Here is a 17,283-nt window from a genome sequence, read left to right as displayed (position 1 = left end):
ATTTCACCCAATAAAGAAGTCCTTTGATAGTTGCTGTGTGCTCCTTCCCATATTACCTCAATAAATATGATCCCTTTTTCTCCCTCCGGATTTCTCTCCCTCTCTTTCCCAGTCACTAGTGAATAGTTTGTTGGCACCTCATGTTTGTTTTACCTTGCTCTTGAAATTCTATTTAAGGTACTAAAGGAAATTTGTTAGAATGTATATCCCATCCCTTAAAAAACTCATTTAAAAACAATAAATCCTGTCCAATTATTTGTTGAGTTCATTTTTCTCACACTCTTCAGAGCATAAATCATTGATTTAGGCTGATAACATGGTTTCTGCAGCATTTTCAGTTTTTCTATTTTCAAGTTAATCGTTTGCAACTGTGATGAAGTTTAATCATTTTATTTCGTGGTACTTTTTAAAAAAATACATAAAAGCACTTCCTTTTTTTGAGTAGCAGTGAATAGACAAATTTTTATAGCTTAATTTCTTTTAAATAGAAAGGTAGATAGCACTTAGCCTGGGAAACCTGGAGCAGTTTCACAGGTTGCTTGCAGTCTTTCTAAGAGCTGTCTAATTAGAGCTGTGTAAATGGCATCTTTCTCTTACATGTAGCCAAGCAAGTGCTGTTATATCTGTTATTCCCTAGCTCCTACCTTAGACTATACCTGCTGATGTTTCTTACCCGGAAAAGAGAAAAAGCATTTTTAAGGGCTGGCTGGCTGTGTTGTTTTTTGCTTTACTCTTGTTCTCAGAAAGCTAATCGAAGAGTAAAATCAGAAAGCTCTGGGAGTGAGTTTATTTTTATCTCTATTGTCTTCAGTTCATTGGAGCTTTTTTGTTTTTTTTAATTGTACATCTATGCAGCTTACTCTAATGAATCTACACTTCATTACTCTGAGGCCGTAGATAAACCTACATCATCTATGGTTCTGTTTTTAGAATATAGATACAGGTAGCAGATTGCTGGGAAATTGTAAAAGAATTATTTTTATCCTGTCTGATAGTTTTTCTTAAAGTAGAAGCTAGAAAGGGGCCTTCCAGATTTGGAATTACTTTTTATCAGGAGGGCATTAAGAATAAGCAGACTTTTTCCATTTTTACGTCAATCATAATAGTAACTAAAATCCATATGACATTTTGGAAATTTCAGATGTATTGATTCATTTAATTCTCACAGAGGTGTTGGTTCCAGGACTTTTTGATTATGATATTCATATTAGTGATGAGGAGACTGAGCATCTGAGTGTTTCCTACACATAGAGCTTCTGTAGTCATGTCTCATGCTTGATTGTTGACTACTTCATTGCTTGATGAACCTCTATAATAATTGCCTCCTTATTAGTATAAAGCTAATTGGACCACAACTCCATGATGTGGCTGAAAGTTAAGCTTCAGTGGCCTAAGGTCTACTGTATTTTAAGGCAAGTTGCTGTCTAACCAAAAAGCACGCCCCTCTATCACAGGTGCTGGTAATTCCCCAACTCATGTTGCTGATCTTGCAATGTATTCAAAGATAGTTCAATCAGCCGTCTACTTTCCTGTGTCCATTCTCAAAACTCAGCCTCCTCAGCAGTGTGGGGGTATGGAAAATCAAGTAGAGGAAGACATACATTAATGAGGAGTTGCAGGTTGGGTTCAAATACTCTGAATATCATCTGTTTCTCCATTAGCTCACTGTGGGGTTGAGCTACGATGCCCACAGAACAGGCATGCTTTTAAAAAAAAAAATTCTATGTGTTTTGTAGAAACTTGGAAAGACTGCAGCTATACCAGGGGATACCCTGGCAAACAATAGACTGTGTCTTTGCAATAAATGTTTGCTTTATTTGGTATGTTGCAGAAAGAATCCTTCATGTCACCAGGTCTGATGCAGCCACGTGTGGCTGTCATTGAACAGGTGAAGGGTCGGGGGAAAGGCCTGTGTCCTTTAGAATTTAATCAATTTGCTTGTAAATGTTTATTAGATTTTGCTTTCCTATTTCCTGTTTTCTAGTTTTTCTGGAGACTGCAAAGTAAACATTTTTGCCACATTGTTGTAAAATTGCAATCTAGGTCTTAACCTATATTAACAGCAATATAGTGTTATGCTTTTTCGTTTGTGCGTTGGAGTAGAGGAGGGGACATTAACAAATGAAAGGTAGCTTTTGTGCTCTGTCGGGTCTTGAGTACTTCTGTCTTACAACAAAGAACAAACTTGTTTGCCAAAAAGCAATTTCTTTTTGACACAGTCCTTACTTCATTAGGGATTTATAGAACTTAAAGAAAATAAAAGTACCTGGGATTTGAAGCCAAATTGTGAGTTGGAGCAGGGTAAGACGCTCAGCTGAACATCCATCTCCATCTCTGTAGTGCAGCCGCATCCACTGGAGCCACGGTGGGATTCTGCCTTCCCTCCAAGACTGCCTCTTAGTTATTATCACCCGCTAAAGTCCAAGGAGAGCTTCTTTCCATGGACAGACCACCTAGTACCACTACTTCCTCTTGCTTTTTGTTTATTTTTTGCCCCATCAGGTTCCAATCAAGATGTGAAGTAGCAGCCTCAGTGAAAAATCTCATCTCAGCACATCAAAGGTAGAAGCAATAGGAATCAGCTTGAAAGAGCATCAGAGTGCGTTCCTACCTAATCTGAGAGACACAAAGCCTCTATTTATCTTAAAATAACTTCACAGAGATGTCTGAGTCCAAGAAGGTTAAGAATAGCACAGACAGACACCTTATTTTAGAACTCAAAAGAACTGGAGGGCATCAGTTTGTCCAACACATCTTGTTTAGCAAATAAACAATTACAGTTCTGGGCAAGTTGAGTAACTGGCCAAAGATCACAGAGTAAACTACCAGCAGCCCTAGACAGGAGTCCAGGTTTCCTGGTCAGTTTCTCTAAATTCTTAGCAAGTGCTTGCTATTGTCCCAAGACTTTAAAATGCACACGTGACTTTACCTACAGTGTAATGTGATGCAAAATTATGATCCTTCCCCTTAGGATTACTTGATTTCACAAAATAATTCATGTATTATTTTGCATCCTGCTTTTTCACTTAATATCAGGACTTAAGGCTTTATTATAAACCCCTCATCATTGTAAACACCCCTTCAACAAGAGACATCTTTTCAAATCGAATTATCTTCTGGCCCCAAAAATCAAATCCATAGCAAGTTGGGTGTTTGTTTGCTTTTTTTTTTCTTCTTGGTGGTTTTAAAAAATCCACATGACCCCATTATTCAAAGTCTGTATCCAGGCTCATTTTTCCACTGAAAACTGTAACTAGCAATCAACAGCAAATAAAATGAGAGCCTAAAACGTGCCTAATTCTGTTCAAATAGCTGTTTGCTATGGCTTGTTGTGCATGAAAAACAACAGAAGCACAGCTCTACCAATCATTCACCTCATCACAATCTCTGTCGGCTTTACAGGCTTGCATTAACAGCCAGGTTTAGTTAGCCCAGAACACAAAGACCCAGTATAAAGCATGTAAGTAATATTTTTAAATGCCACAAGAAAGAACAGTTCATTAACTGAGGAAATACACTTTAACCCAGGAATGGAGCATATTGGTATAATATGAAGTTAGAGGGTCTAGCCTTAGGTTTCTCATGTGTAAGATTAGAAGGCTAAACAATTATTTATGGGGTTACAACTATTGACATCACTGTTATTAATTAGAGAATGCACATGAAACAATGCATGAGAAATCATGAAAACCCACTCAGTTTTATAAATGCAGTAGAGCCATGGACTCCTAGGAAAGAACCAGTCTTAGAGGTAAGCTGTTCTTGAACAAAGACACTAAGACCAACTGACTCCAAGAGAGTTCCTGCAGCAGGGCCAATGTGTTCTAAAATTTTGCTTATGAGGAGCAGAAGGCAAACATCTTTGTCATGTTCCTCCTGTTTTAATAGCTCCTTCGCCAACCAAAAAACAAACAAACAGGAAACCCAAAAAACAAATCAAGCACTGTTATTCTAGTATTGGAGGAAGGTCTCCTTGACTCCAAGAATGAAAAGCAATCACCTAATTTATAGTAATTCTATACTCTTTCAGTACTACATTTCAAGTTACATTTCCATCCTTCATAACCCCAAAGGAATTAAGTTAATTCTCACACACTTCTCTTGGATTAGAAGTGCACTCTGATTAATGTTGCATTAGCAGAAGCAAATCATTTTTTGGAAAAGGCAGGGAATTGAAAATTAAATAAATATGCACTACTTAGAGAAAGTCACCCCCCAAAAAGTGGAAGAATGTTAGATCCAGCCTCCCAGCAGAAACATCCTAATCAAGAACTACTGAAGAAGCATTTCATGGCACCAAAACATTTGGAAAGCAGCATATTGTTTATTTTCACAGTGTTGGTTGAAAAGTCTTTCTAAATATGTCACATTAAAAACCAGAGTCTCATCTACTTGAAATGGACTGCTGATTAACTTTAGCTTCCAATCTGGGGTTAATATTTTTAGGACACACCACCATCCTTTCTAAAATTTTTTCTCCTTCATCTTTCTGCACAGTGTGTTATATTGGGTTTTATGAATACAGGACTCATTAGATCTTAGAGCTTCTGGAGAACATAGCCATCTCTCTTATCTCCACATTTGCAGAGGATCTGTGAGAGAGAACTTACCTGAAATGTCTTTTCACCAGAGCGCGTAAAGAGATTTGCCAGAAGGAGGCTTTCATTCCATGTACTACCTTCTTACAAATAGGTATCAAACTATAAGAGGAATCTTAGCATTATTTTCAGGACATAAAGCATTGGCTTAATAATTTGCTCTACCAGGTATTCCATTTTGTTTTCAATTACGTATTTTTCAGAATATTAATTATTTATCTTTTATTGAGACAGAGTCTTGCTCTGTCGCCCAGGAATGAAGTGTGGTGGTGCAATTATGGCTCACTGCAGCCTTGACTTCCTGGACTCAAATGATCCTCCTACCTCAGGCTCCCAGGTAGCTGGGACTACAGGCGTGCATGACCATATCCAGCCAAGTTTTTAGTGTTTTGTAGAGACAGGGTCTCTTTGCCATGTTGCCCAGACTTGTCATGTGCTATTCTCAATAAATCTTCCTGCCTCAGCCTCCCCAAAGTGTCGGAATTACAGGCATGAGCCACCATGCCAGCCTAATTTTTTATTTTTATTTTTTTGTAGAGACAGGGTCTCACCATGTTGCTCAGACTGGCTCAGACTCCTGGGCTCAAGTGATCCTCCTGCCTCAGCCTCTCAAAATGTTGGGATTATAGGCATGAATTACTACACTTTGCCCAATTCCTAAATTCTTAAAGCATTTAGTGATAGTATTGATTCCTGGTGCCTAGTAGTCTTCAGGCAACATTTTTGTATTCTTATCCTGGGAAGTGCAATCATTATTCAGTAGCAGCCTACCCCCTCCTTGTTAAACAAAAAGAATTTATTATTCAAACTTGGGCAGTATGCAAAAAACCCCAATTCATTACATAATAACTGATTAACATTTTTACCCAAAGAGGGTTGGATGGGTCTGATTCCCTGTCTTTAGGAATGATTCTCCTGTGCATCTCCTCCATCCTCAGATGCATTGTTCAGACACATTTGCTTTCCTTGATAAGGGGGGAGGTGGCACAGGGCCCAGGTGATGAATCTTCTGAGTCATTTAGCCCAGATTTCTCCATTCTGAGTTTTCTTAGAAAAAAGTTTTCTGTATATTGGCAGCTGAGTGAGGCCCTTAGCCAGAATCCTTTTTATCAATTCTTTAATGTTGCTAACTGCTAAATTAAAGTTTTGAAAGTAGGTTTTTCCTGTTAGATGGATTCATTCTTGACTCAGAACCAAATCCTATGGATATGTAAGATGTGTGCACGTCCCAGTGTTTGTAACCTGAGAATTTTATTTAAACCGTCATTTGAATCTACAGTAATCTGGTGTTGGGGAGGAATAGGATCTTTATCAACAAAGAGCTGCCAAAACCCCAACTGCTTCTTGAGTAGCTGTAATAGATGAATAATGTTACAGCCAACCATGCATTTCAAGTTTTGCTCAAAAGGCTTTTCAACTAATGCTGGTGGTATTCCATATCCGTGTGTTCATCTCAGAGTGCAGTAGTTTCCATCTGATTTTCATTACCTTTCTTGAGAGGATCAACTTTACAACCGGAATCAGAAAAGCAGTCAAAGTCATTGCAAGTGGCAATCAGTGAAATATAACAATTTGAGCTTGGGAACATATGTTTCATTATAAAGAAAAAAAAAATGGTTACCCCGTAATTCCAAGATTCATATTTCCCAGGGTAGAAGGGATCATGCACAAGTTCTAGTGTACCTTCCCATATCATGCTGACATTCCTATAAAGTGCTTGTTCTCCCCTACAGATAGCCAACTCATGACCTTCCAAGGAAACTTAACTCCCTTTTTGATTCTGACCATTTGAAAATGCTTTATTGTATTTGAGATGAAATTCATGTTTCTGTAGTTAAATCTTTCAGAATTTAAAACTTGGAACTCAACAGAGTAAATCTAAACCTCTCTTCTTCTCACAGGCAGCTCTTATCCCAATTCCTACCATTTCCTTTGCTAGGCTATAATATGCATTCTTTCTCTTATGGAGTAGCTTTCATTCCCTTAATCACTGTGGCTCCTCTTCTTGGAAGAAGCTCAAATTTGCCTCTGTCTCTCTTAAAGGCATGTGCTGATGGAAAACTAGGCTTTAAATCACAATATCTACATTAAATTACATCTCTGCTACTGATTACATGTTGGAACTGGGGAAAATTATTTACTCTTTTGTCATTAGGGTAGCAAAGGTGAATAAAAGAGACATGGTCAAAATAGGCAATAAAGCAACTTAACAGACAAGTAAATATATAATTACAACCTTAATCAGTAGTATAAAGGGCTGTCAAGGGAGTTCTGATGTCTCAGGGTACTCCAGGGCAGGCCTTCTGGGATGGCGGCTGGGTGTTTTATGATGGGAAGGAGACAGAGTATATTCTAGGATGTGGATTGAGCTAAGGAGGGAAATAAATGTTTTCTAATAATTGAAGCAGACCAGTGTCTAGAGTTTTAAAGGCAAGGAGGTGAGTGGAATGAGATGAGTTTGGGAAGTTGCAGAGCTTTGTAAGCGATGTTCAGAGTTTGGATTTTATTTGAAGTATAAGGGGAAGCCATTGTTGGGTTTGAAGAAGTTACAGTGTCTGAAATAAATTTCTTAAAACTGCTCTCATGTTAGATGGAGAACAAACTGGAGAGGACAAAAGTAGAAGATGGACATCCAATTAGGGGGCAGCTGTCCTAATCCAGGAGGTTCATGTGCTGCTTACAACAAATCACGAGTTTTAAATGAGAAGCAATACTTTACAGAGGTCAAGACACATACGAGTAGCCTAGGATTAAACCTGATTCCACCAACTTGAGCAACTTGCTCAAGTTTCTTTAACTTCTTTGCACCTCAGTTTTCTCCTGACAGGACTCATAACAGGACTTACTGCAGAGTTGTTGTAAATATTAAATGAGTTTATATATGAGTTTCCTGTTAACTAAATCTACAAAGAATTTTTCATTATTATGGTGTGTTCCACTCTATTTTGTATTTTCAGACTCAGGCATTCTTTTATCTAGTTTTTGCCTGGGAAGCACATGGGTGAGGAATGTTACCAGATTGTTTATTGTTCTTTGGAAACTATTTTTTTTGCCAGTGCAACAGAGAAAACCAACAACCAGTGAAGGAAAAGGCATTCTATGGACCATCTATTGTATTTTTTCTTTGTCGTATTATAAAGACCTGACACTTTTTTGCATACTTTTTTTTAACATGACGGTTCTAATAGGACCTGTTTTTAATCTTGCTTGAAACCCGACCTTCAATATATTGTGACTTCTCTAGTGTGAGGTGGAACAGTAAGATAGCACTGCCATTAGGTCATGTCCCAGGCTGTTTCCTCTTGTGATGTGCTCACCTGGTTGAATAACACTCCTTGTTTTCCAGGGATCCCAGGAAGTGACTATGTGAATGCCAACTACATAGATGGGTATAGGAAGCAAAATGCCTATATTGCAACACAGGGATCTCTCCCCGAAACATTTGGGGACTTTTGGAGAATGATATGGGAACAACGGAGTGCCACAGTTGTCATGATGACAAAACTAGAAGAAAGATCAAGGGTAAGAATAAGTATCCACCTCTTTCCTTTTAAAAATTTTCCCTCAGAGTCCCTATGTTGCATATTTTATTCTGTTCAGAATCTAACCTTTCCCTAAGGCTTATCTTTCTAACAGATACTAATTATGAATGGGCATCAACAACTCTAATTAAACCATTCTTTAAAACTCCTCTGGGTGTTTTCACAAAAGAAATTCTCCCATGTTATGATGTGTGTGGTTGCTAAAAAGTAAAAAAAAAAAAAAAAAAAAGGAATATTCACAGGAATAGACAACTTGATTAGAGAAAATAAATATTTGCTTGAACCTCTTTCAAAAACACCATTGAACAAGAACCTACGGGCTTTGGGGAGAATCCCACCAATATGTACTTCCACTATTTTCAACTTTTTCTTTCTTAAAATCTGCAGCATAAGACTTAAGTTCTGTGAAAGAGGCTTTTGCTTAAATTATTCACATTAGTATAAATTAAGTCAGGGCAGCTGGAAAAATGATGTGGCTGAATACACGGCTGAGAAAACATAAATGCATAGAGGGCGTTTTGCTAGTTTAAACTTCTCCAAAATGAGTAGATTTTAATAATGGAGTCATAGCTTGGTAAGGTCCAAGAAAAGAGTTTTATTCATCGTATGGGTCCAATATTATGGTGCATGGCACATTAGTTAAATGCTGTTGGTTTGAAGGACTAAAAAATAATGGGTAAGCAGTATACCATATTCCTGAGTACATGTGTACATTTTGTAGCATCTGAAGAAAATCAACCTTTAACCTTGAGAAATTAATGATGGGATCTCTGAAACTTCATTGAAGACAGCAGATACTTTCATTGAAGAATAGGGACATTCAAGACAGAATTTGAAACCACAAGTGAGAGGCCTCTTTTACTGTGGTTATAGTAGTCTCAAAAAGGATATTTAGAAGGAAGAAAGCCTGATTCCCCATTTACTGTGTGAAAGTTGAGGTTCTGTAAATGTTCTTCTAAGCTCAACACATGGAAGTTTCTCTAAGCCTGGGCGTGTATATGAGGGACAATTTAAAAGCTGCCCAAGAGATTTATAAGGGAAAAGCTCAGACAGAAACATATTAAAAAGCCACAACTGTAACCTCAAAGGTGGGAAATCAAAAGCAGTGATAAATGGTTGGTTTAGCAAAACTAAAAAGCAATTAGATCTTTTCAAAACATCTGAATTGTATAGAGATGTTGAAATATTGTCTAAAATGGGAATTAAGATAAAAATGACACTGAAGACAAATATCTGCCATACTTTACATGCAAACCCAATTCAAAAGATGTAAATGGATTTGTTACTGATTTGTACTTAAGGTAACTCCTATATATCAAGCAGTTTCTTTAAAAACAACTCCCCTCCCAAGTGATCTTGGATATAATAGTTCATAACTATAATAATGTCTAACATATTAGGTGCATTGATATTTCATAACAGCCCTTTACAAGAAACACTACTGTGACCTCCAGTTTACATATGAGTATACTGGGGCCCAGAACATTACAGAAGCTTTGCCCAAGGTCATTCAGCTACCAAGGTCAGGGATAGGAATTGAAGACAGACAGTCTGGCTCCAGAACACACGTGCTTCACCATCAAGCCATACTGCCTGTTGACACTTCTGTGAAACTGAGACAGCTGAACTATTATATTACGGCATGCATGTAAATCCAACCTACCCAGTCTGTTCTGCCTGGAGATAACTGCTGGTAACAAGCAGTCATTTGCAAAAGCTGTTTTCAGTAAAACACACATTTTATCTTGACACTGCAGGCCTTCATTAAACTGTGCACAGAAACTTGTTTTGAAATAACCAAATGAAATTCTGCCCCTTTTCTCCCTAATTGCTTCTAATAATAAAGTTAGTTCTAACTGGCCCCACTGCCACTGCAACATCTGATGGTAATGAGCAGTTCTTGGCGGAAGGCATTGTGACTTAAATACCTACAGTTTATCTTTCTGTTGCAGGCTACCTTCTCCCCCAACTCCCCTCAGCCAGAGGAACTTATTTGGAAGTTACTAAATGAACCTCTGTTTGCTCCCTTCATTAATTACTCTTTGCTCTTGCAAGTTAGCTTTCTCCTTTGTTAAATGGCCTAAGGAAGCCAATTAAAATGCTGTCTTGTGATTTTTATTCTGTGGTGGTTCAGCCTGTACCCAGATTTGTGATGACCTGCATAAGCCAATAGGCATTTGGGGAGTCTCAGCCACCACCAATCTGACAATACACATGAGCCCTGGACCCCAAGGCCCAAAAGTCCTTTGTTCTCCAGTCCAGAACACTTGGGACTAAATGACCACATGTCCTGGAGAGATTTAACAAAGCACTGGAGCCTCATATTATTTCATCTGCTCTTCCGTCTTCCTCCCTCCCATCATTCCCATCTCACCCTTTCCCTATCCAGTTGCTCTTTTACCTAAAGTAGCGGGAAGAAAGGAGAAGGCATTCCTGGATTCCCAAACAAGAGCTGGAATTGGCTTTCACTATAAAAACAATGTTATAACTAGGGGTGAGTTGTTAGTGAAATCTATAGCTCCAGACTTCAGGAACGTGGTGGGTTCTGTGGGCTGACCTTGGGACTCAGTGAATTTTCAATTCCCAGCAGCCAACTTCAAAGCAGACATTGGAACTAGCCTGGCCCTATGAAGGGAAGTGGCACCAGTCTTCCTCATAAAGGGAGGTAGTCCAGGTAACGTAAACAAATTACCTCTCCAAGAGCTGAAGCTTGAAATGTCATTATTTAGATTAAGGCTCAGGTTCTTAAAATAATATTCATTCCTATGGTACATGAAGAAAATATGTGTGCGTCTTGTAAATGCTGCTGTGAATTAGAAGTATGCTAGACTGCCACTGACCATAGATTTGCAGCAGGGAAGAGGGGAGAAAAGGAAAGAGAAGAGAAGATAGCTTGATATTACGCAGGACTGCATGGGGATACCACCATGAGAGAGGACAGCTATGGGACAGTTCCAAGTAGGGCACTTTGCAGTCAGATGTCTGAGTTCAAATACCAACTCTAGCCTCTACTAGCTGTGTGACAATGAGCAAGTTTACTTGACTCCTCAAATTCTCATTTTTCCTTTTTTGGATTATGCGGAAGGGTTATTGTGGGTATTGACTGAGATAAAGGATGTGGCAAGGTGGCTCAGTGAGTCTCAAATGGTATTGTTTGGTAAAGAAGTTGGGGGCTTTACAGTGACAACTTCAGTTTCCCCAAAAGATAGCCTCCAAATAATTCACTCTGTGTTCCCAAATGAAAAGAGTTTATTTCTCTATGGTTGACGATGAATCCTGACCAACCTCTCCATGTCCCTGAACATGGTTAATTATGCCCACGTTTCCCAGTGTGGCACACCCATGCATTTTATTCAAGAGGAGAGAGGAGCTCAGACCATGGGATTCTTTCCTACTTGCTCTCCCCCAGGACAGGATCTCCAGAATAGAGATCAGCCGGGGAACAGACCAAAATAGAACATTCCGGCTGCTACATTGACTATAATACAACATGAAAATCATAAGTGATATAGACATGGGTTACATGTAGTGATAAGTGCCACTGAAGATACGTTTCCTTATTGTTCAGTTTTACATCCCCTCTCCCCTTTTTTGGTTATTTTATGGTGCTACGAAATTGTCCTGCCTTAGAGCCCATCTCTCTTTTCAAGCGTTCTGTTTTGCCACAGCCTGGTTCACTCGTTTTTGTTTTTCTTTTAGAGACAGAGTCTTACTCTGTTGTCCAGGCTGCAGTGCAGTGGTGTGGTCATAGTTCACTGTAATCTAACATTTCTGGGCTCAAGCAATCCTGCCTGAACAGCAGGGACTACAGGTGCACAGCACCCACCCCCAGCTAATTTTTAGATTTTGTAGAGACAGAGTCTCACTTTTTTGCCCAGGCTGGTCTCAAACTCCTGGCCTGAAGCAGTCCTTCCACCTTGGCCCCCCAAAGTGTTTGGACTGCAGGCTTGAGCCAGCCCGTGCCTGGCTGGCTCACTCTTAAGCTGTCGCTCAGGTCTGAGGTTTATCAACAGCGCTTGTATTAATACCTTTGGTGAGTTAGAACAGCTCACTGAGACAAAAGGCTTCTGGATTCCTTAGCAGGTATTAGAAGTTTCACTAGCATCTGTTTTGAGAACTGATCATTCTTAGTGTTTGCATGGCTAAAGAAACCCTTATAAGTGTGAACTATGACTTAGGACTTAAGTTGATTATTTGAAAACATGAGTTCTTTGATTTTCAAATGCTATTACTTCCCTTCAAATGTGGCCTTTAAAGAATTCCAATCTTAACTGAGAAGACTCTTTGCCTGGTGTATACATTCAGCTATCAACCCTGAAGGAAAAGTATAAGTTGAATATTTCATATGAGTTTCATTAGGGTATATAAAGAAATACAAAGACAACGGGCCAGGTGCGGTGGCTCACGCCTGTAATCTCAGCGTTTTGAGAGGCCAAGGCGGGCAGATCACCTGAGGTCAGGAGTTCGAGACCAGCGTGACCAACAAGGAAAAACCCCATCTCTACTAAAAATACAAAATTGGCCAGGTATAATGGCACACGCCTGTAATCCCAGCTACTCAGGAGGCGGAGGCAGGAGAATCGCTTGACCCGGGAGACAGAGGTTGTGGTGGGCCAAGATTGCACCATTGTACTCCAGCCTGGGCAACAAGAGTGAAACTCCATCTCAAAACAAAAACAAAAAAACAATGATAGAAGCTGGAGATTTTGAAGGGAAAGCATGAGTTCTGCTGAAACACACAGATCAGTTTAAAGCTGTTGTAGAATGTACTGTGTAATATGAAATACTGTTAGTGGTTTTTTTTCCCTAGTTTCCATCTTTATTGCCAAATCCTCTCAAGTTTTGCGTAGTTCATTGATTCTGTAGCAAGTCATTCTAGTTCCCTAGAATGTGGTTTCTAATTGTTTCCATGTTTCATAACATGCCAATAAGCACACGAATTGGTCTGGGCAACCACATGGAAGGAGGAAACTGTTTGGAAAAAATGAAGCATTTTGTAGGGAAAGTAAAATGTATACAGCTGGGATTTCCACTCCAAGGATATTATTTTTGATGACTGGGGCACATGATTGGCAGCCTTGCTTGCAGAATTGGCATCTCCGAGGTAGGATTCATCTGCTTTTTTAAGTAAGTGTATATTAAATTATTATTTAGTGTGTGAGTGTTCACCTTTTTCCCTTCATCTATCTTCTCTTGACTGTTTCTCTCCTACTCTGTCTCCCATCTTGAAATACAGAACACAGAGAGAATGCATCAACCTCATGCTTAGAAAATTCTTGAGTAACCCTGATTAGTATTAGCAGTTGAAAGGCTTAGTCAGGGTTAGAATATATCTGACTTTTACTTCACCTCACCAGCTTGCCTTCATTCCTTGCCCATAGTAGAGACTCAATGTTTATCTTGTCTTGCAAGCTTTATAGTGGGGGTTGATTCACTTAAAGAGCTGTTTGTAAATGTACTTAGCGTTATAAATGTTGGAGATGGGGAGTGAAATTTTGACACTTAACAAATCAGTCATGATTTTTATTGTAATCCAATGTGGGCTGTGCCAATTAGTAGTGAAAATATAGGGCTAGAAATGAAGAATCCTAATTCTTGGTTTCCAAGCTATCTTAAGTCCCATTTTCTGTTTCCAAATAGGGAATCATACAAACCAGATGATGCCATATATTAGTAAAGCAGATCAAATGTTTTGTGCATCGTGACTTGAGTTCTATCTTAGGCCAAAGAATGGGAAAATTCCTGCCCTACTAAATTTTGTGGTTTGTGCTAATGAATGCAGGTTAGATGCTGTCAGGGCCAAAGAGACTGGGCTGGTGTTAACTTCACTTTGTTAACAGTTTAGGGAACTTGACATTTGGCTGGTGGAACACTTCTGACCTAATGACCACTCACTCCTCCTCCTATGTCTTCCCCAGTCCTTGAATGTCACCTTAGTAAACTTACCCTAGCACAAAGTGAAGGTGAGGTGGAGACATTCACATTTTGTTCTATGGCTAAAAGGGCAATTCTGAGCATGAAGCAGTAGAAAAAGAGATTGTGCTCAAACATTTTCTTCTTTTCCTATAAAACAAAGCTTGAGATTCTTTTCAGATTGTGAGATCCTTTTGGGTTAAAATTTGACAGAATCCCATTGAAGATTATAAATGGCAGTGCTATTGTTTTCATTGCTGTTATCAGTTTTGGAAAGTCCAGCCTTGGCCAGTGGCAGACTAATTCTTGGCCCTTCTGGTTTGTCAAGGTTCGGTAAGTTTAATGGAGAGCAAATGCTTTCCAAATGCCAGGTTTGTGTCCTTTTCCAAATGGAACTGGAAGCGCCAAAGGCCGTGAACATTTAATTTCTCAAACTGCAGCCTAAAGTGCTGCCTATCTAGGGCAACAGAAACTGCTTTTTTCCTTAAGCAACTTTAGGACCAGCAGCACAAACATTGCCTTTGGAGTCTGCATGATGTATGGGATTGTTTTTGAAAGTGGTGGATACTTAATGTAAATAGGACGCTGGCAACAAAAAGAATGATGCTCATGTTGGCAATCTAAAGGATGTTGGGGTCCTTATCTAGAAAGTTCTACACTTTTGGTTTTCTCTTGTCAGCAGACACAGCGTCAGATAAAAGAGAAAGAATCCCACCAATTTCTTGCTGTTTGTTAGCTTTCTGGATTATCTACCTTCTTTCCCCACCCCACCTGCTCTACTTAGAAAGGCAGCTGACAGATTCTGGCTCAAAGCATTCCTCTTAAAGCCAGTTAGAGTCCTGATGACCTGAGTAAAGAGCTGGAATGGGAGGAGGAGATGCAACTTTGCTCCTGATGACTTTGTACAAAGCCTCTCTCATTCTCTGCATTCATGTCTGTGGTTCTCCTGTGCTGGATTAGGTCTCATTTCTAAAGTTTTCAGAAGTATGTGTTAATCTCTGTTTACTAGTGTTTAGGGTCCAATGTTTGGTTTTTCTCTGTTCTTTATCAGCAGAATGTCTGGAAAGGCTGATGTTCAACTGGTAAATACCCAACATAGTTGTACTGGTTGTTAAAATATTGAACTGCATTGATGCTGGCTGGTACCTATAAATTATATTTTTATTGAAACATTGAGTCATCTAATGATACTGTTTGGAAGAGGTGACACTGGAGTCAAAGGCAACTGCTGGGCAGACCAAGGCAGAAGCAGAGGTGGCTGTAGGGCTATGTGGGGCACCCAGGTGATCCTCAGGAGTGATTAGGTCTGAGGTGGATACTCTGAGGACCCACCTCATGTGGGAAGAGCTGATATCAAAGTGCTACTTGGCCACGAGAAAGAGGCACCTCACACAGTTCTGCTCTGGTTAGGACAAAGTGCCAGAAACTTGAGACTTAATGACTTTCAGTTTAATGGGGGAAGTCATTGGAAAAGTTTACGGCAGCTCCCTATGTCAACTTCTGGCAGACACATCAAACAAAAGGGAATAACTTTTTTAAAGTTAATAAGCAGTTTAGAAAGTGTGCGAATGGTTCAATGAACTGGTAGGCAATTTTATGACATGTAATTTGGTTTATTTTGAGAATAATATTTTTCAACTTTATGGCTGTATATATGAAAAGCTGCACTGGTGGTCAAATGCTTTAATATCACTCTCATTTCAAATATTGTAGTGCCTCTTTGTCCTCCACTAAATAGTGATTAGTAAAGATATAATAAAATGGGGGAATACACAAACCAGACTGACTGCCAGTTGGGAATAGATATAGCCAAATATTGATTGAGTGCAGAGAACTACACTGTTGTTAAAAGAGAATCACTGAGATGCTCTCTGTCCTTATCGTGGAAAATCAAGTATTCAATCTGGTCTTAAAAATTTCCAGAATAGTTACTATAACCTGTAGAAATAAATAGTTCAGCATTTATTTTTTCTGCCCACTAAAATTAATGAAATTTATCTAAAACTTTCCTTTATTATAGTCTCCCTCATTAAATGGGTATTGACAAAAGGGTACCAACATTTCCTTACTCCCAAAAATAACTGTGACTTGTGTTATCTAATGTTAGCCTGTTTGTCCATTCCTTACAGGATACTAATGCTTGAACAACCACTCTGCCCAAACTTACTAGGTACGAATTTAGAGTCACTTTTAGCAATAGTTATGGTATCCCACGTATCATTTATTGCCTCTTCTAAGTCCTTCTTTGGCTAAATAATCTCGTGGCAAATACGTTTTGGATTAGCAATGCTAGAACCCTTTCAAGGTATCAGTTTGTTACAGTTGGAATTCTGATGCCTTGCCATGTTGCCATGCTCAGTAAGTCTTTATTAAATTGAGATGAGGAGGTTTTGTTTTCAGAAAGTGGTAGACAATTTAAAAATAAGCCAATCTAGTTAATTGATTATAAAGTTGGCTACCGCTCATTAAGTGCCTACAATATGCTGAGCACTCCCAAGGTAAGCCATATGGGAGTAAAAATAGCCTAGAACGAGAGCCCTTCTCCCAAAGCATGTTCAGCAGACCTAATGGATCAGCTCCTACCAGATATTTGCAATGACAAGAGTTTTAAAAATAAATTTAAATATGTTTTATTATTCCATCAACTTGATTTTGATAGTTTGTCATGAAAAAGGTAAAATAAATTAATTCCATTGCATAAATTTAGCAATGGTCACCCTGTTCTTTCCGTAATTATAGAAAAATGAAAGCTCCACTTAAGGGTAATAACTTTGTGATAATGAAAAGAAATGCCTCCCGCAAATTTAGCCAAAAATCTGAACTGTCTCAGTTTAAGCTTCAAGTAAAGTTACTGGGTGATGTTTCTAAACCACAGCCTGAGTGACAAGTTCTGCTGTTCTTCTTTTCCACCTCTGAGTTGAACACATACTCTTTTCAGAAGACATTGGGGCCCACATAGATGAAGAGAATTGTTTGGAATCTCAGAACCACCTATTTGAAGAACAAGGAGGTTTAGAAACACCCCACTTAGTCAGTAAGGCTAATGGATTGAGGGCAGGGACTGGGTCTTATGTCACCTTGATGCCCCACAACTGCTAACACCTTGCTTTGCACCTAGAAAATCCTAAATCAGTATCTGCTGAAATTAATAACATGTTCTTTTTTTTCACATTTAGACTGATTTAGGTAATTTATAACAACAACCCCCCACACACAAAAATCCAGAATGT

At 39.0% G+C, this 17,283-nt stretch overlaps 1 protein-coding gene across 55 annotated transcripts in view; it reads left to right on the top strand.

The window, feature by feature from the left end:
* PTPRD (protein tyrosine phosphatase receptor type D) overlaps nucleotides 1-17,283 on the top strand; it is a 2,298,757-nt gene that overhangs the window by 2,215,651 nt on the left and 65,823 nt on the right. For all 55 annotated transcript variants that reach the window (NM_002839.4, XM_017014961.3, XM_006716827.5 and 52 more), the window contains one exon: nucleotides 7,945-8,120. In NM_002839.4, coding sequence (NP_002830.1) covers nucleotides 7,945-8,120 — 176 coding nt within the window. The remainder of the gene's footprint in view (nucleotides 1-7,944; nucleotides 8,121-17,283) is intronic.

This window comes from Homo sapiens, chromosome 9, assembly GCF_000001405.40.
Source record: "Homo sapiens chromosome 9, GRCh38.p14 Primary Assembly".
NCBI classification, from domain to species: domain Eukaryota; kingdom Metazoa; phylum Chordata; class Mammalia; order Primates; family Hominidae; genus Homo; species Homo sapiens.
Note: the sequence above shows the minus strand (reverse complement) of the source record. Positions and strands in the feature narration are given on the sequence as shown.